Source organism: Homo sapiens, chromosome 6 (assembly GCF_000001405.40).
Source record: "Homo sapiens chromosome 6, GRCh38.p14 Primary Assembly".
NCBI lineage: Eukaryota > Metazoa > Chordata > Mammalia > Primates > Hominidae > Homo > Homo sapiens.
This window is the reverse complement of record NC_000006.12, coordinates 34,669,309-34,695,106: the sequence shown is the minus strand read 5'-3', so window position 1 is coordinate 34,695,106 and position 25,798 is coordinate 34,669,309. Positions and strand designations below refer to the sequence as shown.

At 41.1% G+C, this 25,798-nt stretch overlaps 1 protein-coding gene, 1 long non-coding RNA gene, 2 other non-coding genes and 1 pseudogene across 9 annotated transcripts in view, besides 3 other annotated features; 3 read left to right on the top strand and 2 right to left on the bottom strand.

Moving 5' to 3' along the window:
• Window positions 1-25,798, top strand: part of ILRUN (inflammation and lipid regulator with UBA-like and NBR1-like domains) — a 109,480-nt gene that overhangs the window by 1,661 nt on the left and 82,021 nt on the right. The window lies entirely within an intron of this gene.
• Window positions 2,224-2,327, bottom strand: LOC124901540 (small nucleolar RNA U13). The gene has a single exon (XR_007059971.1). It is a non-coding gene; the product is annotated as a small nucleolar RNA U13 (small nucleolar RNA).
• LOC105375028 (uncharacterized) lies at window positions 6,233-8,008 on the top strand. The gene is made up of 2 exons (XR_926726.1): window positions 6,233-6,266; window positions 7,884-8,008. It is a non-coding gene; the product is annotated as an uncharacterized LOC105375028 (long non-coding RNA).
• On the top strand, window positions 9,465-9,752 carry RN7SL200P (RNA, 7SL, cytoplasmic 200, pseudogene; annotated as a pseudogene).
• On the bottom strand, window positions 12,205-12,309 carry LOC124901535 (small nucleolar RNA U13). Its single transcript, XR_007059966.1, has one exon. It is a non-coding gene; the product is annotated as a small nucleolar RNA U13 (small nucleolar RNA).
• Window positions 16,374-16,589: a silencer, noted in NCBI's record as "fragment chr6:34646295-34646510 (GRCh37/hg19 assembly coordinates)". NCBI's record gives its function as "represses an EF-1alpha promoter that drives an FKBP-Casp9 reporter gene in an ReSE screen in phorbol 12-myristate 13-acetate-treated (for megakaryocytic differentiation) K562 erythroleukemia cells {active_cell/tissue: K562(+PMA)}" and the evidence as "EXISTENCE:reporter gene assay evidence [ECO:0000049][PMID:32094911]".
• Window positions 22,693-22,872: an enhancer, noted in NCBI's record as "active region_24385". NCBI's record gives its function as "activates an Ori minimal core promoter by ATAC-STARR-seq in GM12878 lymphoblastoid cells {active_cell/tissue: GM12878}" and the evidence as "EXISTENCE:reporter gene assay evidence [ECO:0000049][PMID:35858748]".
• Window positions 22,913-23,012: an enhancer, noted in NCBI's record as "active region_24384". NCBI's record gives its function as "activates an Ori minimal core promoter by ATAC-STARR-seq in GM12878 lymphoblastoid cells {active_cell/tissue: GM12878}" and the evidence as "EXISTENCE:reporter gene assay evidence [ECO:0000049][PMID:35858748]".

Here is a 25,798-nt window from a genome sequence, read left to right as displayed (position 1 = left end):
TTGTAGCCGTGGCTGCACCAAAGGTAATGTGTAAATTTTTTTTTTTTTTTTTTTTTGAGACGGAGTCTCGCTCTGTCGCTCAGGCTGGAGTGCAGTGACGCAACCTCGGTTCACTGCAACCTCTGCCTCCCAGGTTCAAGCAATTCTCCTGTCTCAACCTCCCCAGCAGCTGGGACTACAGGTGCACACCACCTCGCCCGGCTAATTTTTTTTGTATTTTTAGTAGAGGTGGGGTTTCACCATATTGGTCAGGCTGATCTTGAACTCCTGATCTCATGTGATCCACCCGCCTTGGCCTCCCAAAGTGCTGGGAACAGGTGTGAGCCACTATGCCCCGCCATTTTTTTTTTCTGTGCATCATCTTTGATGGGTCCTACTATTTTATCTTTAAGGTCAATTATTACAGCAAGAGCAGGTTTAAATTTCTAGATGTTTAGAAAACTCTTTGACTGGATGCAGGAGATAGTCTTTAGAATTAATCATTTGTAATCTCCATTTGTATCTGTTACGTCTGATGATCTCAAGCAGGGAATATAGCCTACTGTAGTTTTCTGACAGCTAACCTGTGGTGTTTAGTCAGAGAGACATGGGTTATTGAACACACTGAGAAAAGCTATTACTCTGGTGAAATTTAGAAGTAAAGTTATATCTTGAAGAGAGTTCTCTTGCCTGACTGCTTCCCACCTCTGGCTCTTTTTCTTCCTTGTTTACACTAGTTCAGCATAGGAAACTTGGCATATTGTTGCTGCTAGTTTGGTAGGAGAGGATCATTATTTCTCCCAACCCCTTGTGAATTGGACCATTTAAACACTACCCTAGTAAGTTTTAAGTTCTTTAGAGTCAGTCTTTATTAGTATAATTATTATGGCTACAAAAGCAGTGTAATGAATTTTATATGTTTGAGGTATGTATTTAATGTCTAAGATTTTTCTTAGGTGTTGTGGAAAGTGAATAGGTGAGGCCCAGTGTGGATAAGAAAAAAAATAACTTAAAAGGCTGCACGCCTATAATCCCAGCACTTTGGGAGGCCAGGTGAGGCAGGAGGATCACTTGAGTCCAGGAGTTTGAGACCAGCCTGGGTGACATAGTGAGATCCTGTCTCTACAAAAAATACAGCGAAATGAGTCGGGCTTAATGGTATGCACCTGTAGTACCAGCTACTTGGGAGGCTGAAGTGGGAGGATCACCCTGGGAAGCTGAGGCTGCAGTGAGCTGAAATCGCACCATTGCACTCTAGCCTGGGTGACAGAGTGGTGAGATGCTGTCTCAAAAAAAAAAATTAAAAATATAGTTGGATTATAAAACTTGTATTTGAGGGAGGCTGAGACAGGAGAATGGCGTGAACCCAGGAGGCGGAGCTTGCAGTGAGCCGAGATTGCGCCACTGCACTCCAGCCTGGGCAACAGACCGAGACTCCGTCTCAAAAAAAAAAAATAAAATAAAATAAAACTTCTATTTGAGTTTTTATATAAAAAACTTATGCTCAAAGCCATGGAGTAGCATATATGTTGATGACATGTTATTTCTGTATAAAAACAAGTTACATATATGAGCAAAGGAGTGAGCCGTTAAGAAAATGTGTTCTGGGCCAGGTGTGGTGGTGCATGCGTGTAGTCCCCAGCTACCTGGGAGCCTGAGGTAGGAAGATCACCTGAGCCCAGGAGGTCGAGGCTGCAGTGAGCCGTGATCATGCCACTGCACTCCAGCCTGGGCGACAGAATAAGACTCTGTCTGGAAAAAAAAATGTGTTCTGGCTTTAGAGAAATTGAGAAGTTGGAAGTCAGTAGCTTCTTAGAAATCCATGCAGTTAAGTGATAATTCAACTTTAAGTCACATTACCTTATTTTTTGGCTACATAAGGCATGTTCTTTATTTTCTTTGATTATAAAATGAAAAATCATTTGTGAACTAAAAGCAGGAAGGCTTTTCATTTTTTTTTCTTATGAAAGATAGCGTCATAATCTAATACTGTATTTTTGATTCCTATGTTTACCTAATTCATCTTGACAGATTTTTATTTTATTTTTTTGAGACAGGGTCTCATTCTGTCTCCCAGGCTGAAGTGCAGTGGCACAGCTGTGGCTCACTACAGCCTCAACCTCCCAGATTCAAGCAATCCTCCCACCTCAGCCTCTTGAGTAGCTGGGACTACAGATGCGTGCCACCATGACTGGCTAATTTTTTTATTTTTTACTTTTTATTTAATTTTTTTCCTTTTTCTCATGTCAGACGGGTAATGTGCACGTTATATAACAAGATTCAAGGTTGGCACGTCTCATACATGCATGTAAACACCCAATCATCACGCATCTGAATTACAAAAGGATCAATTTAAACATTTTTTTAGAGATGGGTCGCACTATGTTGCCAGACCTAGTCTTGAACTCTTGGGCTCAATCTTGCCTTAGTCTCCCAAAGTGTTGGGATTATAGACATGAGCCACTGTGTCCAGCCAATATTTTTTTTTCAAACAAACATCCATCATAATTAATGAAATCTAGGTAAATACATATACACATAATGTGCATGCATGCATACTTAATCACAGTATTTGTGTGTGTTGCCCAAGTAAAAATCTAAAGTCTAGACGTGTTGTTCTACGCATCATTTAATTTCTAACTGGGCAACTGTTGACATAGTCCTAATACAGGTTGACAAAAAAATCTCTCAACTTGCTCTGATGATTAACCTGTTGAATTGAAGATGATTAATCTTCCTATGACTTCATAAGTGCCTGCTTCGGGTTGTAATAAATACCATTCAGTTGTCTATTAGAAAATAATGTGGTAAATTAAAAATCATTATTGAAAAGCGAAGACCCTGAGTCTTCTAAAATTAAACCTGTCTGAGTGCAGTAGCTCACGCCTATAATCCCAGCACTTTGGGAGGCCAGGGCAGTAGGATTGCTTGAACCCAGGAGTTTGAGACCAGCATAGGCAAGATAGCGAGACCTCCATCTCTACAAAAATAAAAAAATTAGCTGGGCTTGGTGGTGCTCACCTGTAGTCCCAGCTAAGTGGGAGGCTGAGGTGGAAGGATCAATTGAGCCTGGGAGGTGAAGGGTGCAGTGAGCTGTGATTGTGCTGCTGCACTCCTGCCCAGGTAGCAGAGTGAGACCCTGTCTCAAAAATAAAATAAAAGTAAAACCTGAGTTGGAAAGGTTATGCTTTTGTGATCAAAAGTAAGAATTTGTCATTTTTGAAAAACTGACTAAATGGAATGTTTTGGCCTTGTGAGTCTTTTACCCTGTTAACACATATTTTGTTTGGTCTTAGGTTGACAAAATTGTGTAGATACTTCTTTTTTTTTTTGAGACAGAGTTTTGCTCTGTCGCCCAGGCCGGAGTGCAGTGGTGCGATCTTGGCTCACTGCAACCTCTGCCTCCCGGGTTCAAGAGATTCTCCTGCCTCAGCCTCCCGAGTAGCTGGGACTGTGGGCGCCCACGACCACACCTGGCTAATTTTTGTATTTTTGGTAGAGACGGGGTTTTACCATGTTTGTCCAGGCTGGTCTCGAACCCCTGACCTCAAATGATCCACCCACCTTGGCCTCCCAAAGTGCTGGGATTATAGGCGTGGGCCACCGCACCTGGCCTCTATTTGTTAAATTTAGAACCAAATATTGTTTTCAGTTGAGCATGTTTGTAGCATTTATACCTGAGCTGGCAGCCATGCTGCTGGAGATTGATGGAACTGTCTGTTAACAGAAGTAGTCAATTTTCAGTTCCTAAGTGAGTATGTAAAGTGAATAAATGATATGGTGAAAGTAAACCCAATATCTAAAACCAAATTGAAATGACTTGTAGATTAATATCTGCAGTGTTCTATAGATGGAATGTCTTTCAGAGATACTATTGGGCTGTGAATACAGAACTTGGAATTGTAAAACCGGAAACTGACTTAAGAGATTCTTTAGTTTAGGCCAGGTGCAGTGGCTCACACCTGTAATCCCAGCACTTTGGGAGGCCGAGGCGGACGGATCATGAGGTCAGGAGATTGAGACCATCCTGGCTAACATGGTGGAACCCCGTCTCTACTAAAAATACAAAAAAAAAATTAGCCAGGCCTGGTGACGGGCACCTGTAGTCCCAGCTACTGGGGAGGCTGAGGCAGGAGAATGGCATGAACCCAGGAGGCGGAGCTTGCAGTGAGCCGAGATCACGCCACTGCACTCCAGCCTAGTTTATTCCAACTTTTCCTGTAGATTTGCATCCAGCCCTTCTAAGATAGCCATCTGTCCTATTCTTGTATCCCTACGGGCAGAGATTTGCATGATACCTTATTATAATGTTTAATTACTTTCTGGTTAGAATTATGTTTAAACCTTCCTTGCTACAATTTAAGCCTTTTTCGTTTGTGTTTGTCCTCCTTGGAGGTGGAGGATATCTAATAAACACTCTGTTAAGAGGCCAGAACGCTTCTATTAATTGAAATTACTAAAAGTTTTCAACTATGTAAAATTTAAACATGTTCAATTTAATGGGTTCATATTTTTTAATGTAGTCTAATTGGCTTTTTTTTGATGGGAAACCAAGATTCAGAGGAGAGCTTACCTCACTTTTTAAGAATTTGTGGTAAAATATATATAACAAAATTTACCCTTTTAATCAATTTATTTATTTATTTATTTATTTTTAATTTTTTTTTGAGACATAGTTTCACTCTGTCGCCCAGGCTGGAGTGCAGTGGCGCAATCTTGGCTCACTGCAACCTCTGCCTCCTGGGTTCATGCGATTCTTGTGCCTCAGCCTCCCAAGTAGCTGGGATTACACGTGTGGGCCACCACGCCTGGCTAATCTTTGTATTATTAGTAGAATCAAGGTTTTGCCATGTTGGCCAGGCTGGTCTCAAACTCCTGACCTCAGGTGATCTGCCTGCCTCAGCCTCCCAAAGTGCTGGGATTACAGGTGTGAGCCACCATGCCCGGCCCGCATTTTAATCAGTTTAAGGTGTACAGTTCAGTGTTACATTAGGTGTTCATTGTAAGTTGTTTAGCATTAGTAACAAGAGTCAAATAACTCTTCTAGATTTTTATACATTAACTTAGGAGTTAATATTGGCCTTATTTCTCAGTATAGCAGTAGATAAAATATCTTTTAATAGCATATAGACAATGTTTCTCTACCTCCTATTAGGCTACTGCTGTGCAGTTGTGGTATTGCAACATCCTAGGTTGCCTGCAGGTATCTTCAGGGAGCAGTGTGTATGTTTTGGAATTCTACTTGCATCCACCATGGATGGAACAGATGTTTTCTAGAAAAGTAACTTGGGAAAAATATTTCTGTAAAATATGATGTCCTATTAATTTTCTCAACATTGTCAGAAACACCCTACTAGATAAAGATATAACCACAAATCAATGAAATGAAATTAGAATCTAGATATGAAAATCAGTTGTACCTCTTACCTGATCACGTATTACCTTCTTTGCCTGTTAATCCATTTCTCAGTCACCCGTGCTAAATGAGTTTCTCATCTATGCTGTGGTTTATATGTATAAATCTAGGAAAAAGTTCCTTTATGATAGAGATAATACTTCTATTAATATTGGTTTCCTTAAATAAATGTGTGTCAAATAGTAGTTTTAGGAAGAGGGTAAGGAAGGGCTACATAACAGTGATAGAGTATTATGTACTCTATTACATTTTTTAAAAGGTTTTTATTTTTGATTTGGAATATTGTTGATTTTTAAAGTAAGATTGTGAAATTGATACCATGTAAAATTAACTATTTTATTTTCATTTATTTAATTTTAATTTTTTTAGAGACGTCTCACTATGTTGCCCAGGCTGGAGTGCAATGGCTGTTTACAGGCATGATCATGTAGCACACTACGGCCTTGAACTCTGAGGCTCAAGTGATTCTCCCACCTCAGCCACCTGAGTACTTGGGATTACGTGTGTGCAGTACTGTGCCTGGCAAAATTAACTGTTTTAAAGTGAACAGTTCAGTGGTGTTTAGCGCATTCACAGTGTTGTGCAACCACCACCACTCTCTTGTTTCTAAACTTTTTCATAACCCCAAAATGAAACTTTACACCCATTAAGCCGGTGTAAAGGACTATTCTCTCCTCAGCCATTGGCAACCAGCAGTCTGAGTTCTGTCTCTATGTATGTACCTATTCTGGATATTTTCTTTTCTTTTTTGAGATGGAGTTTCACTTTTGTTGCCCAGGCTGGAGTGAAATGACGTGATCTTGGCTCGCTGTAACCTCCGCCTCCCAGGTTCAAGTGATTCTCCTGCCTCAGCCTCCCGTGGATACGTCATGTAAATAGAATTTGTCCTTTTGTGTCTGCATCTTGTTGTTGTTGTTGTCGCCCAGGCTGGAGTACAGTGGCGTGATCTCGGCTCACTACAACCTCTGCCTCCTGGATTCAAGCGATTCTCCTACCTTAGCGTCCCAAGTATCTGGGATTACAGGCGTGCAAGATCACGCCTGGCTAATTTTTGTATTTTTTGTAGAGATGGGGTTTTGCCATGTTGGCCAGGCTGGTCTTGAACTTCTGACCTCAAGTGATCCATCTACCTTGGCCTCCCAAAGTGCTGGGATTACAGGCATGAGCCACTGTGCCCAGCCTTTTTTTTTGGTTTCTTTTAATGAAGCCTGTAAGTTTCTTGCCATGGCATCTTTCATTTAGCATTATGTTTTCAGGGTTCATCCATGTTGTAGTATGTATCAGTACTTCATTTTTTTTTTTTTTTTTTGAGACAGGGTCTCATTCTGTTGCCCAGGCTGGAGTGCACTGGCGCTATCATGGCTAACCTTAGCTTTGACTCCTGGGCTCAATCCATCCTCCCACCTCAGTCTCCCAAGTAGCTGGGATATAGGCATGAGCCACCATGCCCAGCCAGTTTTTGTGCTTTTTGTACAGACAGGATTTTGCCATGTTGCCCAGGCTTGTTTAGAACTCCTGGGCTTAAGGGATCCACCTGCACTGGCCTCCCAAAGTTTTGGGATTACAGGCATGAGCCACCCCCCAACCCCCACCCCTGGCCTCACTCTTTTTTTATGGCTTGATAGTATTCCATTGTATATACATATCACAATTTGTTTCATCTGTTCATTCGTTGGTAGACATTTGGGGTGTTTCTATCTTTTGACTATTCTGAGTAGTAAAGTTTTGAATATGTGCGTGTACCTGTATTTGTTTGAGTACCTTTTTTTAGTTCCTTTGGGTATGTATCTAGGAATGGAAATTTTGGGTCATATGGTCAATCTGTTTTTGAGGAATCACCAAACTCTTTTCCACGATGGCTGAATCATTTTACATTCCCAACCGCGGTGTATGAGTTGGTCGCAATTTCTCCACATCTTTGCCAACACTTGTTATTTTTCTTTCTTCTTTTAAACTTCCAGTTTAATGGAATATATATTTTATAAATATATATATATATATATTTTTTTTTTTGGAGATGGAGTCTTGCTCTGTTGCCCAGGCTGGAGTGCAGTGGTGCAATCTCGGCTCACTGCAACCTCCATCTCCTGGATTCAAGTGATTCTCCTGCCCCAGCCTCCCGAGTAGCTGGGACTACAGCTGTGTGCCACCACGCCCTGCTAATTTTTTTTGTATTTTTAGTAGAGACGGGGTTTCACCTTATTGGCCAGGCTGTCTCAAATTCCTGACCTTAGGTGACCTGCCTGCTTTGGCCTCCCAGAGTGCTTGGATTACAGGCGTGAGCCACCACGCCCAGCCAATATTTTTCTTTTTAAAACTATAGCCATCTTAGTGGGTATGGATTGGTACCTTATTATGATTTTGATTCTTATTTTTCTAATTACTAATTATACGAACATATTTTTATGTGCTTTTTGGCCATTTGTATATCTTCTTTGGAGAAATAACCATTTAAGTCCTTTGTGCATTTTCTTTCCCCCACCCCCAGGGGAATTTTGTTGATGGCTCTAGTTTATTCCCTCCCAAAAGACCAAGAGCAACCAGATGGAGTGAAGTTAACTTCAGGATTTTATTGTCTTCATAATAAAATAAAAGATGACATTTAGAACTGTATCACTTGGTCCTTTCTCGTCTTATCGCCTCCCAGTTCAAAATGCTTGCATGTCTTAGAAGCTAGCATTCTTTTACATCTGCAGTTGGGTTCCATGCACTCTAGCCTCAGCACAATCTTCTTTATAGTTTTAACCTTTTTCTGGGAAATTGGCTTAGTCTGCCCACCATAGCTACCCTGCTTCCTGTCATAATGCTGCTTTCTGCAAGCTCCGCCTTCCGGGTTCACGCCATTCTCCTGCCTCAGCCTCCCGAGTAGCTGGGACTACAGGCGCCCGCCACTGCGCCCAGCTAATTTTTTGTATTTTTAGTAGAGACGGGGTTTCACCGTGGTCTCGATCTCCTGACCTCGTGATCCGCCCGCCTCTGCCTCCCAAAGTGCTGGGATTACAGGCGTGAGCCACCGCGCCCGGCCTGCCTTTCTTATACTGTATCACTTTGTGGGGTTGGTGTTTGCCATACTTCTTATAGAAAGTCTGGTGGCTTTTAGGAATGTTCATTATGTTTGCTGGAGCACTGTCAGCGCAAAAAGGCTTTGCCCATTTTTAAATTGGGTTGTCTTTTTGTTGTTCAGTTGTAAGAAGTCTTTTTTTTTTTTCTTTGAGACGGACTCTCACTCTGTTGCCCGGGCTGGAGTGCGGTGGCGCGATCTCGGCTCACTGCAAGCTCCGCCTCCTGGGTTCACGCCATTCTCCTGCCTCAGCCTCCTGAGTAGCTGGGACTACAGGCGCCCGCCACCACGCCCGGCTAATTTTTTTGTATTTTTGTAGAGACAGGGTTTCACTGTGTTAGCCAGGATGGTCTCGATCTCCTGACCTCATGATCCGCCCACCTCAGCCTCCCAAAGTGCTGGGATTACAGGTGTGAGCCACCACACCTGGCCTGTAAGAAGTCTTTATATATTCTGGATATGAAATCCTTATTGGGTATATAAATTGCACTGTTTTCTCCCATTCTGTAGGCTGTCTTTTCACTTTCTTGACAATGTCCTATGATTCACAAATGTTTCTAATGTGCTGAGGTCCATATCAATTCTTTTTTTCTTTGCTTGTGTTTTTGATGTCATATCTTAGAATTCATTACCAAATCCAAGGTCATGAAGATTTATCCCTTTGTTTTCTGCTAAGAGTTTTATAGTTTTAGTTCTTTATATTTAGGTTGTTGGTCCATTTTGTATATGGATATCCATTTTGTATAATTAATTTTTGTGTATGGTATGAGGTGGGAACCAGCTTGATTTTGTGGAGCTTAATTTTGATCATGTTTCTGCTCTGGGACTGGCCTCTCATTAGCTCTGTATTAAATATATCCTTTACTTTTAGTAAATATATATTTTATTCTCTTCAGCCATCACTAAAAGTTGGGCAGAAAAAAAGTGTGCAGGATTTTCTGGTTGGGGCAGGAAACTTATGAATGTTCTGTTGGCATTCAAAACTAGATGTGTTTAAAAGGTCAATTTGCCAGGCGCGGTGGTGCACGCTTGTAGTCTTAGCTACTTGGGATGCTGAGGCGGGAGGATTGCTTGAGCCCAGGAGTTCTGGGCTGTAGTGTGCTATGCCATTTGGGTGTCTGTACTAAGTTCGATATCAGTATGGTGATCTCCCGGGAGCAGGAGACCACCAGGTTGCCTAAGGAGGGGGTGAGCCAGCCCAGGTCAGAAATGGAGCAGGTCAAAAGTCCCGTGCTGATCAGTAGTGGGATTACATCTGTGAATAGCCACTGCACTCCATAGCAAGACTCAGTCTTTAAAAAAATAAAAAATCAAAAAAATTAAAAAATAAAAATAATAAAAGGTCAATTTATCCTTTTCCTTACTCCAGCCAGTTTTTGGTCTCCCAGAAATTAGACTTGAACTGAGTTATCTTTAAGGCCCTCTCTTTTCTGGACACCCCAGTTCATTTGCTAAATCCAGTTAATTTCCACCTGGATTTGACAGTGTACTTCCCAAATGTCTCTTTTTTTCCATTCCCACTGCCACCGCCTTAGTTTGCAGATTATGTTACTAGTTTAACAGAGTAACATAGGCATAGTCCAAATCGGTTTTCTACAAGTGGCTTTCTTCCTTCCAGTCTATTTTGTGGACATACCACTGCTAGATCAGTCTTTCTAAATCACAGCTTCAATCTAGACCCTTCTTAGAAACCTCTAACAGGGCCTTGTTGCTTCCCAGATACAGAACAGCAAGCTTTAGCTTGACATTCATTTAGGACCCTGCAAAGACTGGTCCCAGTTTACCTACTTCTACCTTTCCTGGCGTATCTTTGTAGTGAATATTCTGCTTTTCTCTGCTGTGTTCAAACTAGGCTGCTGCTCATTCCCACGTAAACTTTTGCTCTCCCAATTTTAAACTTGTTTCTCCTACTTAGAATGCTATTCTTTCCTTTCTACCTGAAGAAGTCCTATCGTTTTTCTGAAATTGACATACTGATCCTGTTCTTAGCAGTGTACTCTTCTTTGAACTCCACTCTTTCCTTTTTTATAGTGTTTATTATGTATAGAAACACACTTTTAAGAGGACAGTGCCCCCTAACAGCCTTTGTTTCTCCCTAAGCCTCTTACGCACTACTTTGTACATAGGTGCTCAGTAAACATTTGTTGAAGTAATGTGTAAGGGTAGATGGGAGAAAAGGCTTAATTTTTTTCTTATGCCTATGTTACTCAGTAATTTAGATGTGAATGGACAAAAATATTTTGTAAGCTCTCTAAAGTTCTCTTAGATCATTGCCATTGTGTTTCCATTGAGGAAAAACTTTAAAAAGTCATATAAGCGCATAATAAGTTCAAATAGTTTAGAATAGTTTAAACAGGGGTTGCAAACTAATATATGTTTAGGTGCCAGATGGGTAACAATTGAAGGTGTGTGAACTGGAAAGCCTTGCCTTTATAAAGAGCATGTCTGATATTTGCCTTAAATATTGCCCTGCTAGAATGGGGGTCCAGTGTTAGATTTTTCTATTTTTTTTCAAGAGAAGTAAAAAATATAGGTTTTTATAGGAAATGTCCTGGTTTTTTGTTTTTTTGGGGGGTGGGGTACAGAGCTCTGTCACCCAGGCTGGAGTGCATTGGCGGGATCACTGCTCACTGCAACCTCCCCTCCCCCATATGCCTCCCTGGGCTCTAAGTGATCCTCCCACCTCAGCCTCCCAAGTAGCTGGGACCACAGGCACCTGCCACCATGGCCGGTTATGTTTTTGTATTTTTAGTAGAGACAGGGTCTTGCCATGTTGCCCAGGCTGGTCTCAAACTCCAGAGCTCAAGCTGTCTGCCCACCTTGTCCTCCCAAAGTGCTGGGATTACAGGCATGAGCCACTGTGACCAGCTGAAATATCCTGATTTTTAAATGTTGGCAATTAATTCAAGTATTTTTAAAACACTGAAGACCAAATATAAAGCACATCTGCAGGCAGAATGTAGCCCTTGGGCTACTCATTTGTAACCCCTGTACTAAAGATGAGAAGTATAAACCCCTCCTGTTTCCAGATATAGCCACTGCTAACAATTTCTTCAGACCTTTCTGTGCATTATATTCGGAGCTGAGATTGCCCCATTGCACAGAATATTCTGTGCAATATGTATATATATATATGTATATATATATATATGTATATATATATGTATATATATATGTGTATATATATGTATATATATGTATATATATATGTATATATATATGTATATATATGTATATATATATGTATATATGTGCATATATATAACAGAATTTTCTATGCATGAATATGTATGTAAAATTATATATATAAACCTTTAAACAGCTGTGGTTATTGCTTTTGATTGTCTTTGCTCTTCAGGGTAGTAGATAACAAGGCCCTTATACCTCCATTGTTTGAGTGGGAACTGAATTTAGTTGTCAAGGTACTTGGATAGGCTGTTCATATATACATATATATACACATACACATATATACAAATACACATAAACACACGTGTGTATTTATATGTGTGTGTGTGTATATATATATTTTTTTGAGACAGGGTCAAAAAGGTAGGTTTTTATAGGCAACGTCCTGTTTTTGTTTTTTTTTTGTTGGGGTAACAGCAATCCTCCCATCTCAACCTCCCAAATAGCTGGGACTACAGATGTGTGTCACCATGCCTGGCTAATTTTTAAAATTTTTTTAGAGATGGGGTCTCCCTGTGTTGCTCTGACTGGATTTTTTTTTTAACTTTATTTTTTTTCACATCAGAGAAATAATGTGCCAATGTCATAACAAGGTTTGAGGGAGGGCACGTGTCTCACATAAGTGTGAACACTCAATCATCACGCTTATGGACTACAAAAGGATCGATATTTTAAAGAATTAACAATGTGCTGGGTGTGGTGGCTCATGTCTGTAATCCCAGCACTTTGGGAGGCCGAGGCAGGCAAATTGTGTGAGTCTAGGAGTTTGAGGCTAGCCTAGGCCACATAGGGAGACCCCAACTCTACAAAAAATACAAAAATTAGCTGGGCATGGTGGCGTGCACTTGTAGTCCCAGCTACTTGGGAGGCTGAGATGAGAGGATCACTTCAGAAGACAGAGATTGGCTGGGCGCGGTGGCTCACCCCTGTAATCCCTGTACTTTGGGAGGCCGAGGTGGGCAGATCACGAGGTCAGGAGATCGAGACCGTCCTGGCTAATATGGTGAAACCGTGTCTCTACTAAAAATACAAAAAAATTAGCTGGGCCTGGTGGCGGGCGCCTGTAGTCCCAGCTACTCAGGAGGCTGAGGGAGGAGAATGGCGTGAACCCGGGAGGCGGAGCTTGCAGTGGGCCGAGATCGCGCCACCGCACTCCAGCCTGGGCGACAGAGCGAGACTGTCTCAAAAAAAAAAAAAAAAAAAAAAAAAACAGAGGTTGCAGGGAGCTGAGATTGCCCCATTGCACTCCAGCTTGGGTGACAGAGCAAGACCCTGTCTTAAAACAGACAAGGCTGGGCGTGGTGGCTCATGCCTGTAATCCCAGCACTTTGGGAGGCCAGGCGGGCGGATCATGAAGTCAGGAGTTCGAGACCAGCCTGGCCAACATGGTGAAACCCCGTCTCTAGAAAAAAAAAAAAAAGTAAAAAAATAAAAATATAAGAATTAGTGGGGTGTGGTGGCATGCACCTGTAATCCCAACTACTTGGGAGGCTGAGTCAGGTGAATCGCTTGAACCTGGGAGGCAGAGTTGCAGTGAGCTGAGGTCGCAGCACTGCACTCCAGCCTGGAAGACAGAGCAAGGCTCTGTCTCAAAAAAAAAAAAAAAAAAAAAAAAATGTAGTGGTGGACTTTGGTCATTTGAAATATAGTAAAATCCCTTCTGATTAAGCAACAAATTCTTACCCAGTAATTATGTATAATTTTATTAAAACTTAGTTTTGCTTTGTTAATAAGTAAACTATCTAGTAGTAAGCTCGTCTGACAATATTATTTACAATATTGTTGGAGAACAAGAAACCCAAAATGCAACAGGACTAAAACTGAAAAGGTTTAACTCTTTATTTTTATTTTTTTATTTTTAAAATGAGACGGGGTCTTGCTATGTTGGCAGACTGGTCTCAAACTCCTGAGCTCAACCAATTCTCCTGCCTTGGCCTCCCAAAGTGCTGGGATTTCAGGCATGAGCCGCCACACCCGGTGAAAGGGTTTAAACTCTTTCTAAATCACCTTGTGCAGAGAAGATGAATACGTTTTTCACTTGTTGGAAGGGTAATTGATTTAGTAAATGGTGTTCTCATTTGCCAAAGTTAATGTTTGTCTTGGGAGGGGGGGCAGTTTATTCCCAAATATAGAGGGTCAGCCCCACTATGTATTGAGGTTTAAAAAACCCACCTTTTAAAATGAATAGTTGTGCTTTTTTTAGTGTGTTTTGAGCCTGAGGTCTGTCAAGTGTTTCTGAGGGTTCACACTTGAATTATTGTGCTTGAGGTCAGTGATTCATAAGAGGTCAGCCTCTTATGAAGCAACCACCTTCTAATGATTGATTGAATGATACATGATGTGCTTCTAAAGTGCTTTCTGGTCAGCATTTTATTTTCTAAAGTAAATTTTATTTTTTACTTTTTTTTTTAAACCCTTTGATAACAGGCCTTGAGAAGAGTGGAAACCACTGGCTGGGGGTTGGGGTTTGCATGCAACTGTGACAGGGAAGCCCTACCTTATTTTTAAATTTTTAAAATGATTGTATTTTTTTATGACATAAACAGCACTTGTCCTTCAAGTTGCCTGCTTGGGTCTCTTCCAGGTGTACTTTTTCTTTCTTTCCTGTTCTAAAGCCTTTTAAAATAAACTTTCACTCCTGCTCTGAAGAAAAAAAAATTGTTAGGATCCGAATGTTGGCAAAAAGTTAAAAAAAATAGAAAAAAATATAAAAATAAAAAATAGGCCAGTCGTGATGGCTCACACCTTTGGGAGGCCGAGGCAGGCAGATCACTTGAGGTCAGGAGTTCGAGACCAGCCTGGCCAACGTGGTGAAACCTTGTTTCTACTAAAAATACAAAATTTAGCCAGGTGCCTGTAATCCCAGCTACTCAGGAGGCTGAGGCAGGAGAATCACTTGAGCCTAGGAGGCAGAGGTTTCAGTGAGCCGAGATGGCGCCACTGCACTCCAGTCTGGGCAGCAGAGCGAGACTCTGTCTCCAAAAAAAACAAAAAAAGACATGATTTATGTTCATTGCAGATAAATTAGAAAGAACTGGTAAACAAAACAAATAAACAAAAAAATAAGCGATAATAATGGGACCCAGAGATAAAAATGTTAACCTTTTGTTATATGTATATTCTAATAACATATTTTGTGTGTGTGTTGTACTTGTGCTTGCTTTATAAAAGTGGGGCATTTACTATATTCTAGATACTGTTTTAAGTGATTTATATTTAATGTATAATTTAATACAATAATTCTAGGAAATGAATATTGTCATCCTCATTTTTTACAAAAGGAAAAGAGGCTTAGAGAGGTTAAATAACCTGAAGTCACATGGGTGGAAATGGAATTCAAACATAAGTAGCCTGTGCTTCTGATTACTGTGTTTCACACATTGTATAAGTTTCCTAGTGTTGCTTAAGAAACAACACAAACTGGGTGGCTTAAACCTACAGAAATTAACTTCCTTATAGTTTGAGAAACTAGAAGTTCCAATTTGAGGGTGTTAGCAGGTCCATGATCCCTCTGAAGTTTCTAGGGCAGCATCCCTTCTTGCCTCTTTTTGGCTTTTGGTGGCTCCTTCCAATCTTTGGCCTTCCTTGGCTTGTAGCTGTATCACTCTAGTGTCTGCCTTATTAGTCACATGGCTTTCCTTGTGTGTCTCCAAATCTCCTTCCCCTTATAAGGATACCAGTCAGTTGGATTTAAGGCCCACCCTAATCTTGTATGACCTCATCTTAACTGATTACATCTGCAAAGACCCTATTTCCAAATAAGGTTGCATTCTGAGGTTCTGGATGGACGTGAATTTTGGGGAGATAGTGTTTAACCTATTGCACACCTTGTTGTGTAATCTGTTCTTCACTGAATGATATAACCATTTTCCCAGTCTTAATAAATATAATTCAACACTTTAAAGATTTTGTAGTATTCTATTACATAGATATGATTAATAATCTTTTTGTTGGATATCTAGATTGTTTAAAATTTTTTTTCAATATAAATTCAGTATTGAACATTTCTTGTAGTTAAATCTTTGCTTGCATCCCTGTTTCCTTACAATTTATTCCTAGAATTAGATTGCTGGGCTGAGGATTGCTGGGCTAAATATAAACATGGCTTTTAATGCTCTTAATACTTAATTGCCAAATTGTCTTACACCTCATAAAGATTGGACGCATTTGTATTTCTGCCATTACCGTAACAAGTGAGTATTTCTTTGACCATCTCATCAATGTAGCGCATAATATATTTTTTTTCCAATTTCATAGGTAAAAAATGTGATCCTGTTTTAATTTGTATTTTGCCATTTCTTTTTTTTTTTTTTCCTCCCAATTTTTATTTTAGATTCGGAGGTACACGTGCAGGTTTGTTATATGGATAAATTGCGGGTCATGGGGTTTGGTATACAGATTGTCGCCAAGGTAATAAGCATAGTACCTGACAAGTAGTTTTTCGATCCTCACCCTCCTCCCACCCTGTTTTGTCATTTCTCATGAGTACTTTCATGTGCTAAAGGTCTGTTGTATTTATCTTATGAATTTACTGAACTTGCACTTTTGTCTTTTTTCCATGAAGAGCTTTACCTTGGGAAATGAAATTTCTTTCTTTCTTTCTTTTTTTTTTTTTTTTTTTTTTTGAGACGGAGTCTGGAGTACAGTGGCGTGATCTCGGCTCACTGCAAGCTCTGCCTCCCGGGTTCTCGCCATTCTCCTGCCTCAGCCTCCCAAGTAGCTGGGACTACAGGCGCCTGCCACCACACCCGGCTAATTTTTTGTATTTTTGTATTTTTAGTAGAGATGGGGTTTCACCGTGTTAGCCAGGATGGTCTCTATCTCCTGACCTCGTGATCCACCTGCCTCGGCCTCCCAAAGTGCTGGGATTACAGGTGTGAGCCACCTCGCCTGGCTGAAATTTCTTTTTTTTATACTCAATTGTAAAAGTAATAATGTTGGATATAAAAACCCAACAAATTCAGAATGAAGCCCTATCGGATAGTACTATGCTCATTTTCTGAGTGATGAAATCATTTGTATACCAAACCCCAGTGACATGCAATTTACCCATGTAACAAACCTGCACATGTTTGTACTCCCTGAACCTAAAATAAAAGTTGAAAAATAAAAATAAATTAGAGCCGGGTGTGGTGGCTCACGCCTGATATCCCAGCACTTTGGGAGGCCAAGGCGGGTGGATCACCCAAGGTCAGGAGTTCAAGACCAGCCTGACCAACATGGTGAAACCCCGTCTCTACTAAAAAATACAAAAATTAGCCGGGCCTGGTGGTGGGCACCTGTAATCCCAGCTACTCGGGAGGCTGAAGCAGGAGAATCTCTTGAACTCAGGCGGAGGTTGCAGTGAGCTGAGATTGCACCACTGCACTTCAGCCTGGGTGACAAAGCAAGACTCCATCTCAAAAAATAAAATTAAAAATGTGAAATTAGGTAATATTAAATATGTCAATTCTCAGGCCAGACACAGTGGTGCACACCTGTAATCGCAACACTTTTTTTTTTTTTTTTTTTTTTGGAGGCAGGATCTCACTGTCACTCACGCTAGAGTGCAGTGGTGTGATCACAGCTCACTGCAGCCTCGACCTCCTGGGCTTAACTGATCCTTTGACCTCAGCCCGTCAAGTAGCTGGGATTAAAGGCACGTGCCACCACACCTGGCTAATTTTTGTATTTTTTGTACATAGGGGGTTTTGTCATATTGTCCAGACTGGCCTCGAACTCCTGGGTGCAAGCAATCTTCCCACCTCAGCATCCCAAAGTTCTGGGATTACAGGCATGAGCCGTGGTGACCGGCCCTGTTTTGTTTTTAATAAATGGCATTATACTTTGGGGAACAACAACAACAAAAAACAGTAAAGCTGCTTGTAATACTAAAAGCTAATAACTTGTCAGTGTGTGTTCATATATATAGCTACTCATATGCATATTATATATTTCAAATTGGAGTATAATCATGGATACATACTGCTTTATAGCCTACTTTTTAACTTAAATATATTATAGTTATCTTTCCATATCTGTTTTTCATGACTCCTAACGTCCCATTATTTGAGTATTCTGTAACTTCATCAGTCATTTATTGTTTTTTTCACTATTATAAATATTTCTGTTCACTTGCTTAATTATTTTCATCTCTCTCTCTCTTTTTTTCCTTTGAGACAGAGTCTCCCTCTGTCACCTAGGCTGGAGTGCAGTGGCGTGATCTCAGCTCATTGCAGCCTCCGCCTCCTGGGTTCAAGTGACTCTCCTGCCTCATCCTCCCTGGTACCTGGGATTACAGGCATACACCACCATGCCTGGCTAATTTTTGTATTTTTAGTAAAGACGAGGTTTTGCCATCTTGGCTAGGCTGGTCTTGAACTCCTGACCTCAGGTAATCTGCCTGCCTTGGCCTCCCAAAGTGCTAGGATTATAGATGTGAGCCACTGTGCCCAGCCTTCAATTCTTTTTTTTTTTTTTTTTTAATTGTGACATAAAACCCATGTATTTATTTGGGGCAAATTCCGAGAAGCGGAATTGGCAGGTCAAGGTATGCCCTTTTGAAGGTTCTTGATAAACATTGCCAGATTGCCCCCAAGAAGTATGTACCAATTAATTTTAACAGGCAGTAGAAAGCCTGATTTTGGATAATTATGTTTTTATCTTTACCAGGTAGATTTATCTGATAGATAAAAGGTGTTACTTGTTTTATTTTGTGTTTCCTTGATTGCTGGTGAAGTCTTATTTCTTTTGTGTGTGTGATGGCTATATTTTATATATGTACTGAAATTTTTATTTTCAAAGAAAGTATGTTTAGCTGGGCGAGGTGGTGTGCACCTGTAGTCCCAGCTACTTGGGAGGCTGAGGCAGTTGGATCACTTGAGCCCAGGAGGTCGAGGCTGCAGTGAGCTGAGGTCGTGCCACTGCTCTGGAGCCTAGGTGACAAAGTGAGACCTTGTCTTTAAAAAAATCTCTCTCTCTCTATCTTTGCATATCTACCTATCTAGCTAGCTAGCTAGCTAGCTATATCTATCTATCTAGCTAGCTAGCTAGCTATATCTATCTGTACATATAAATGGAGAGAGAGAAAGGGTCTTGCTCTGTTGCCCAGGCTAGAGTACAGTCCTAGAATCATGGCTCACTGCAGCCTCAACCTCCCAGACTCAAATTATCCTCCTGCCTCAGCCTCCCTAGTAGCTGGGACTACAGGAATGTGCTGCCATGCCCAGCATTTTTTTTTTTGTAGAGACAATGTCTTGCTATGTTACCCAGGCTGGTCTGGAACTCCTGGGTGATCCTCCACCTCAGCCTCTCAACATGCTGGAGTTACTGGGATGAGCTACCTGTGCCCAGCTCTATATATACTGTTCTCAAACTTGATTTTTAAATTTCACAGTATGTTATGGATAGCATGTTTTTTGTTTTCTGTTTTTGTTTTTTGACTGGATGCATTGGATGTCCATTGTGGTTGGTCATATTTTATTTAACCACTACTTTGTTGATGGACAAGAGTTTTGCTACACTCTTAACCAACTGAAGAGTTATCTGTATCTTTACCTTCCTTGTTGCTGGCCTGGTGGGTTAAAATGTATTCATTTTAATTTGTTTTTCTGTAATTATGAATGAGGTTGGATATCTTTCCATATCTTTATTGGCCTTTTGTATTTTTCTATAACTTGTGTATTTTCCTCTCTACCTCTCTCAGATTGTCATTCTTTCCTTCATTGATTTATGTGAGCTGTTTGTATATTAAGGAAAATAGCTTATTAGATTCTTATGGTTCCTCCAGTTTGTCTCGCTTGGTTTATAATGTTTTTTACTATGTGGCACTTTTTGGGTGAATTTTTATGACATTGACTCCAGCAGTCTTTTCCTTTTTGATTTCTGCTTTAAAGTGCAGCAGCGGTGTGGCGGGGAGGGGCAGTGGGAGGGGGAGAAATAATTCTTTCCCTGTTATATAAAATTCACTTCTGTTTTCTTTATGACTGCACAATTTACATATAAATATTTTATATAGCTGAATTTTTTTCAATGTTAGTACCTTAACATGTTTTCCAGATGATTAGTCAGTTTTCCCATTTATTGAAAAATGTACATTTCCCTGATGATTTGAAATGCCATCTTTATCATATATCAAATGCTTATATATATTTGGGCTTGTTTTGCACCTTTTTTGTTGTTGTTTTTGCTTTTTATTTTTTTGAGATGGAGTCTTGCTTTGTCGCCCAGGCTGGAGTGCAGTGGCGCCATCTCAGCTCACTGCAACCTCTGCCTCCCAGGTTCATGTGATTCTCCTGCCTTAGCTTCCTGAGTAGCTGTAATGACAGGTGCCCACTACCACGCCTGGCTGATTTTTGCATTTTTAGTAGAGACAGAGTTTCACCATGTTAGCCGGGCTGGTCTAGAACTCTTAACCTCAGGTGATTAGCCCACCTGGGCCTCCGAAAGTGCTGGGATTACTTGCGTGAGCCACTGCGCTCGGCCTGTTTTTGCACTTTTTTTTGAGTTGCATTGGTGCGCATGTCCAGTTATTCAGGGCCTCAGTCAGAATTTAATTAAAAAAATTTTTTTGTGTGTATGTGTGTGGAGATGGGGGGATCTCACCAACTTGCTCATGCTGGTTGTGAACTCCTGGGCTCAACTGATCCTCCTGCCTGGCCTCCCAAAGTGCTGGGATTACAGGTGTGAGCTACTGTACCCAGCTGAAACTCAGAGTTTTAATGTGTACTTAAAGGTGTTTTTAAAGGGGAAGTACATTTCCTTATTTAATTTTCATTTTATCCAAATTACAAATGTATGGTTTAAAGAGTAAAGTAGTTCTGTCAGCTTGTTAAAAGCAACAAGGGGTTCTAGACCTTTTTCTTCCTTCCTTGACTCCCCAGAGGCAATCTGTTTCAATTCTTTCAACTGATTTTTGGGTTTTGTTACCTCTCTCTCAATTTTTTTTAACCTTTAATCATTATCTGTTGACTTTACACAGGGAGATAAGGATTTTGCTTTGTGATAGCCAAAGTAGTGGTGAAGAGCAAAGTTCAAAGCCTCTGCTGTGTGACATATGGCAAGTTACTGTCTCTGTGCCTCAGCTTTCTCATATATAACATAAGGGCACCAGTTGTTAAATGGGAATTAGGTAAATCGATAGTATAAAGATTTGGGGGCCGGGCGCGGTGGCTCACGCCTATAATCCCAGCACTTTGGGAGGCTGAGGCAGGCAAATCACCTGAGGTCAGGAGTTTGAGATCAGCCTGGCCAACATGGTGAAACCCCGTCTTTACTAAAAATACAAAAATTAGCTGGGTGTGGTGGTGTGTGCCTGTAATCCCAGCTACTCCGGAGGCTGAGGCAGGAGAATTGCTTGAACCCGGAGGCGGAGGTTGCAGTGAGTCAAGATCGCACCACTGCCCTCCAGCGTGGGTGACAGAGCAAGACTCCGTTTCAAAAAAAAAGATTTGGACCTCTGCCTGACCCATAGTAATTGTTTGTTTCACTCACCCCATTTCCTGTTCTCCCATTTTAGTTATTTGTAATTTGGCTAAATCAGTTTTCGTGTGTGTGTGTGTGTGTGTGTGTGTGTGTGTATGTGGTTGTTACTGTTTTTGAGACAGGATCTCTCTGTCACCCAGCGTGTGTGTGTGTGTGTGTGTGTGTGTATGTGGTTGTTACTGTTTTTGAGACAGGATCTCTCTGTCACCCAGCGGCATGATCACAGCTCACTGCAGCCTTGACCTCCTGCGCACAGGTGATCCTCCTCAGCCACTCTAGTACCTGGAACTACAGGCATGTGCCACCACACTCAGTGTTGCACTGTGTTGCCCAGGCTAGTTTTGAACTCCTGAGCTCAAGCCATCCTTTTGCCTTGGCCTCCCAAAGTGCTGGCATTACAGGCATGTGTCACCAATCTTACTGTTTATCTCATTATAATGTTTAAATGTTTATCAACACTTGAGCCATTTGTGTGCTTGGATTACTTTTCTTTCTCAGCACAATATTTTGCTGCCCTGAGGGTGATAATTGTCTTGATTTTTGGTTTGTTCAGTCTTTTTTTTTACTATCCTCAAACTCCTTACTAACTATATATGTAAAATTTATTCTCAGTAGTAGGTTATGACACTGTAGGTGTTCTGTCAGTTTTATCTTTTTGAAGAATTCTTTTCTAGAACGTTGGACCTACCCTGATCTGGACTGGGTGAGCTCTAGGTCTGCACAGATCTCACCCCTGGGGTTTCTTTTAGCCTTTCTTTGTTGGAACCTCTGTTTCCTGGACCCAATTTTTTTTAAGCTTCCTGAAAGTGCAAGAGAGATAAAATTTGAAACTTTTGCATTCTGAAATTTTTCTTACCTTGATACTTAGCTGATATCCCAGATTTTGCTGGGGAGCAGTTTTTTAAGGTTGAGAATATTTTTCTCAGAATTTTGAAGGCACTGATCCTTTGTCTTGTGTTTTCAGCGGTAATGTTGAAATATTCTGATTCTTTGTTCTTTGAATGAATCCTGTTTTCTTCCCTCTCTGAAAACTTTTGGTAACTTTGCTGTGTCCCTAGTGCCCTGAAATTTGACGGTTATGCATTTCAGCATTCATTTTCTTATATTTTGTTCAGCTTTGGTGAGCCCTTTCAGTCTGGAAACTCCCTTCTCTTGTTATCGGAAAATTTCTTGAATTGATCCTTTAATTTCCTCTCCTTCCTTTTCTCTGTTCTCCTTTATTGGAGCTCCTGTTTTTCAGATATTGGACTTTCTGGTCTGGTTCTGTAATTATGTTTTCTTTTTACCTTTTGACAAAATGTTTGCTTTGTTTTCTGGGTGATCTCAGCTTTGTTTCCTTCAAGTTGCATTTTTTTATTACTTTAGTTTTGTTTATTTCATATTTGATGCTTTACCATAAATATATTGTGGTTCTTGACTATATACACCTATTTAAAAAAAATTTTTTTTAAAGAGACAGGTTTTCTCTTTGTTGCCCAGACTGGTCTTGAACTCCTGGGCTCATGAGATCCTCCCACCTCAGCCTCCCAAAATGCTGGGATTAGAGGTGAGCCACCACACCCGGCCCACTACGTACTCCTATTTAAGAGTGGAACACAAAAAGAGGATTTGGGTTGGGCACAGTGGCTCACACCTGTAATCTCAGCACTTTGAGAGGTGAGTGGATCACTTGAGGTCAGGAATTCGAGACCAGCCTGGGCAATGTGGCGAAACCCCCATCTCTACTAAAATTACAAAAATTAGCCATGTGTGGTGGTGCACACCTGTAGTTCCAGGTTCTCGGGAGGCTGAGGCAGGAGAACCCGGGAGGCAAAGTTTGAAATGAGCTGAGATTGTGCCACTGCACTCCAGCCTGAACGACAGAGCGAGACTCCATCTCAAAAAAAAAAAGGGGGTGGAAGCTATGGGCATGACTATGACTATAGGGTGTAACTGTGGGCTTAACAGCCCCACCCATTTCCTCCAGGGTGGGGCAGTCCCTGGGCTATGCAGTGTTGTGACTACATTAGGGGATATGAGGCCTAACTAGTGGGTTAAGCAGATGTGTAACCTCTCCTGTTTTTGTACATGTGTTTATTCCTGAACTGTTTTGGGCTACTCATTGTTAACCAGGTTGCTGCTCTACTTTTCCCACTGCTGGCTAAGGAAGATTCAACTTTTTCAGGTTGGCTAAGACATTTTCCACTTGTCTACTTCCCAGTTCCCTTAATTAAGTTGCCTCACTTGTTCATTTTGTCCTAGTGAATTCACGCCTTTTTCCCCCATCCCTGTATTTTAGGAGGGCTTAGGAAGGGAGCTGAGGCTAATGCATGCATTCAGCCTTCAGTCTTTAACTGGAAACTAAAAAGGAAGTACTGGATTTGCATCTAAAAGTTTTTATTCTGCCTTTCATTCTTAGGATTTATATGGTTTTTTGGATATGATGTAACATTTTGGTATGCCAGTTGAATGATCCATTAAGTTCTAACTGTTATTGCCACATATATTATACAGATAACTTTCTTTCTCCAAATAGAATGAAAGGCTAAAGAACAAACTGTAGATGGTTATCTCTGGTTGATGGGATTAGTTATTTTTCAGTTTCTTTGTGCTTTTACTTTATTTTTGCTTTTTTTGGGACAGGGTCTTGATCCTCACCCAGGCTTGAGCGCAGCGGCGCGATCATGGCTCACTGCAACCTCAACCTCCCAGACTCAGTTGATACCCCCGCGTCAGCCTCCTGAGTAGCTGGGACTATAGGCGCATGCCACCACACCTGGCTACTTTGTGTATTTTTTGTTGCCCAGGCTGGTCTTGAACTCCTGGGCTTAAGTGATCTGCCCGCCTCAGCCTCCCAAAGTGGTGGGATTACACGCCCGGACCCCAGCCTCTGTGCTTTCACTTTAATTCATAAATTTTTCTATATTGAATATGCATTACTTGTATAATTCGGAAAAATACTATTTGAGTAGAGAAAAAATTGCTAGTTAATCAAATCCTTGGATGAAAGTTGGCTTTAGGGATCAATGTGCTCATCTGTTACTTAATCCTAAATATCTCAAGAGTTGTGCTGTGTCTTTTACCTCTTTTAGGTAATCTGCAATTAGAAGCACTAGTTTTAGGGGGTGTGTATATCATTTCTCCTTTTTTTTCTTTTCTTTTTTTTTTTTTTTTTTGAGACAGGGTCTCACTCTGTCACCCAGGATAGAGTGCAGTGGCTCACTGCTACCTCTGCCTCCCGGGTTCAAGTGATTCTACCACCTCAGCCTCCTGAGTAGCTGGGACTACAGGCACATGCCACCACACCTGGCTAAGTTTTGTATTTTTTTTTTAGTAGAGACAGGGTTTCACCATGTTGGCCAAGCTGGTCTCGAACTCCTGACCTCAAGTGAGCTGCCCGCCTCAGCCTTCCAAAGTGCTGGGATTACATTTGTGAGCCACCACACCTGGCCCTATCCTCATCTTTTAATTTTGAAGATTTTCAAACCAAAGAAAAGTTGAGATACTAACATGGTGATTGTGTATACTCTTCCCATAGATTCACTAGTTATCACCATTTTGCCACATTTGCTTTATCTTTTAAGTACCTTTACTGAAGTATAATTTGCATACCATAAGTTAACCTATTTTAATATAATTCAGTGATTTTTAGTAAGTTTATCCATCTGCAACCATCACCCCAATCCAGTTTTAGAACACTTTCGTTACTCCAGTAAGATTTTTTTCTGCCTATTTACAGTTAATCCATACCCACCCCCCAGCCTTGGGCAACCACTAATCTTTTTTGTCTCTAAAGATTTGCCTTTTTGGCCAGGCGGGGTTGCTTATGCCTGTAATCCCAGCACTTTGGGAGGCCAAGGTGGGTGGGTTGCCTGAGGTCAGAAGTTCGAGACCAGCCTGGCCAACATGGTGAAACCCTGTCTCTACTAAAAATACAAAAAATTAGCTGGGTGTGGTAGTGGGTGCCTGTAATCCCAGCTACTCGGGAGGCTGAGGCAGGAGAATCGCTTGAACCTGGGAGGCAGAGGTTTCAGTGAGCCGAGATTGCGCCATTACATTCCAGCCTGGGCAACAAGAGCGAAACTCTGTCTCAAAAAAAAAAAAGAGTTGCCTTTTCTCCACATTTTTTTAAGTGGAAATCATATAATACGTAGTCATGTATCTGGCTTGTTTCACTTAGCACAGTGTTTATGATGTTCATTTGTGCTTTAGCATATATCAGTATATCATTCATTTTTATTGCTGAGTTGTGGTATGGATATACCACATTTTGTTTACTTATTTATGTTATGTTAATTAGTTTTGTATCATCTAGGTGTGTTAACTCTGAAGTCAGATGACTCAGTAGTCAATTTTATGTATGTTTGAATTTATGGTTAATTGTGAGGCCTTCACACACAATTATTCATGTAATTAATATTTAATACACAGGCAGTAATAAAAGTAACAACCACATCGATGGTTCTGGAGACCAATGTACAAGTTGTGTGGTTCTGGAAGTCTTTTGGCTGGCAATTGGTGGGAGGGGTGTTTGTCTCTGTTTCTCTTGGGCAGAGCCTCCACAACAGCTGCCCTGTCAAAAGAAGGCCTCAGGCTGGGCATGGTGGCTCACGCCTTTAATCCCAGCGCTTTGGGAGGCCAAAATGGGAGGATCACTTGAGTCCAGGAGTTTGAGACCAGCCTGGGCAATAAAGTGAGACCCTGTCTCTACC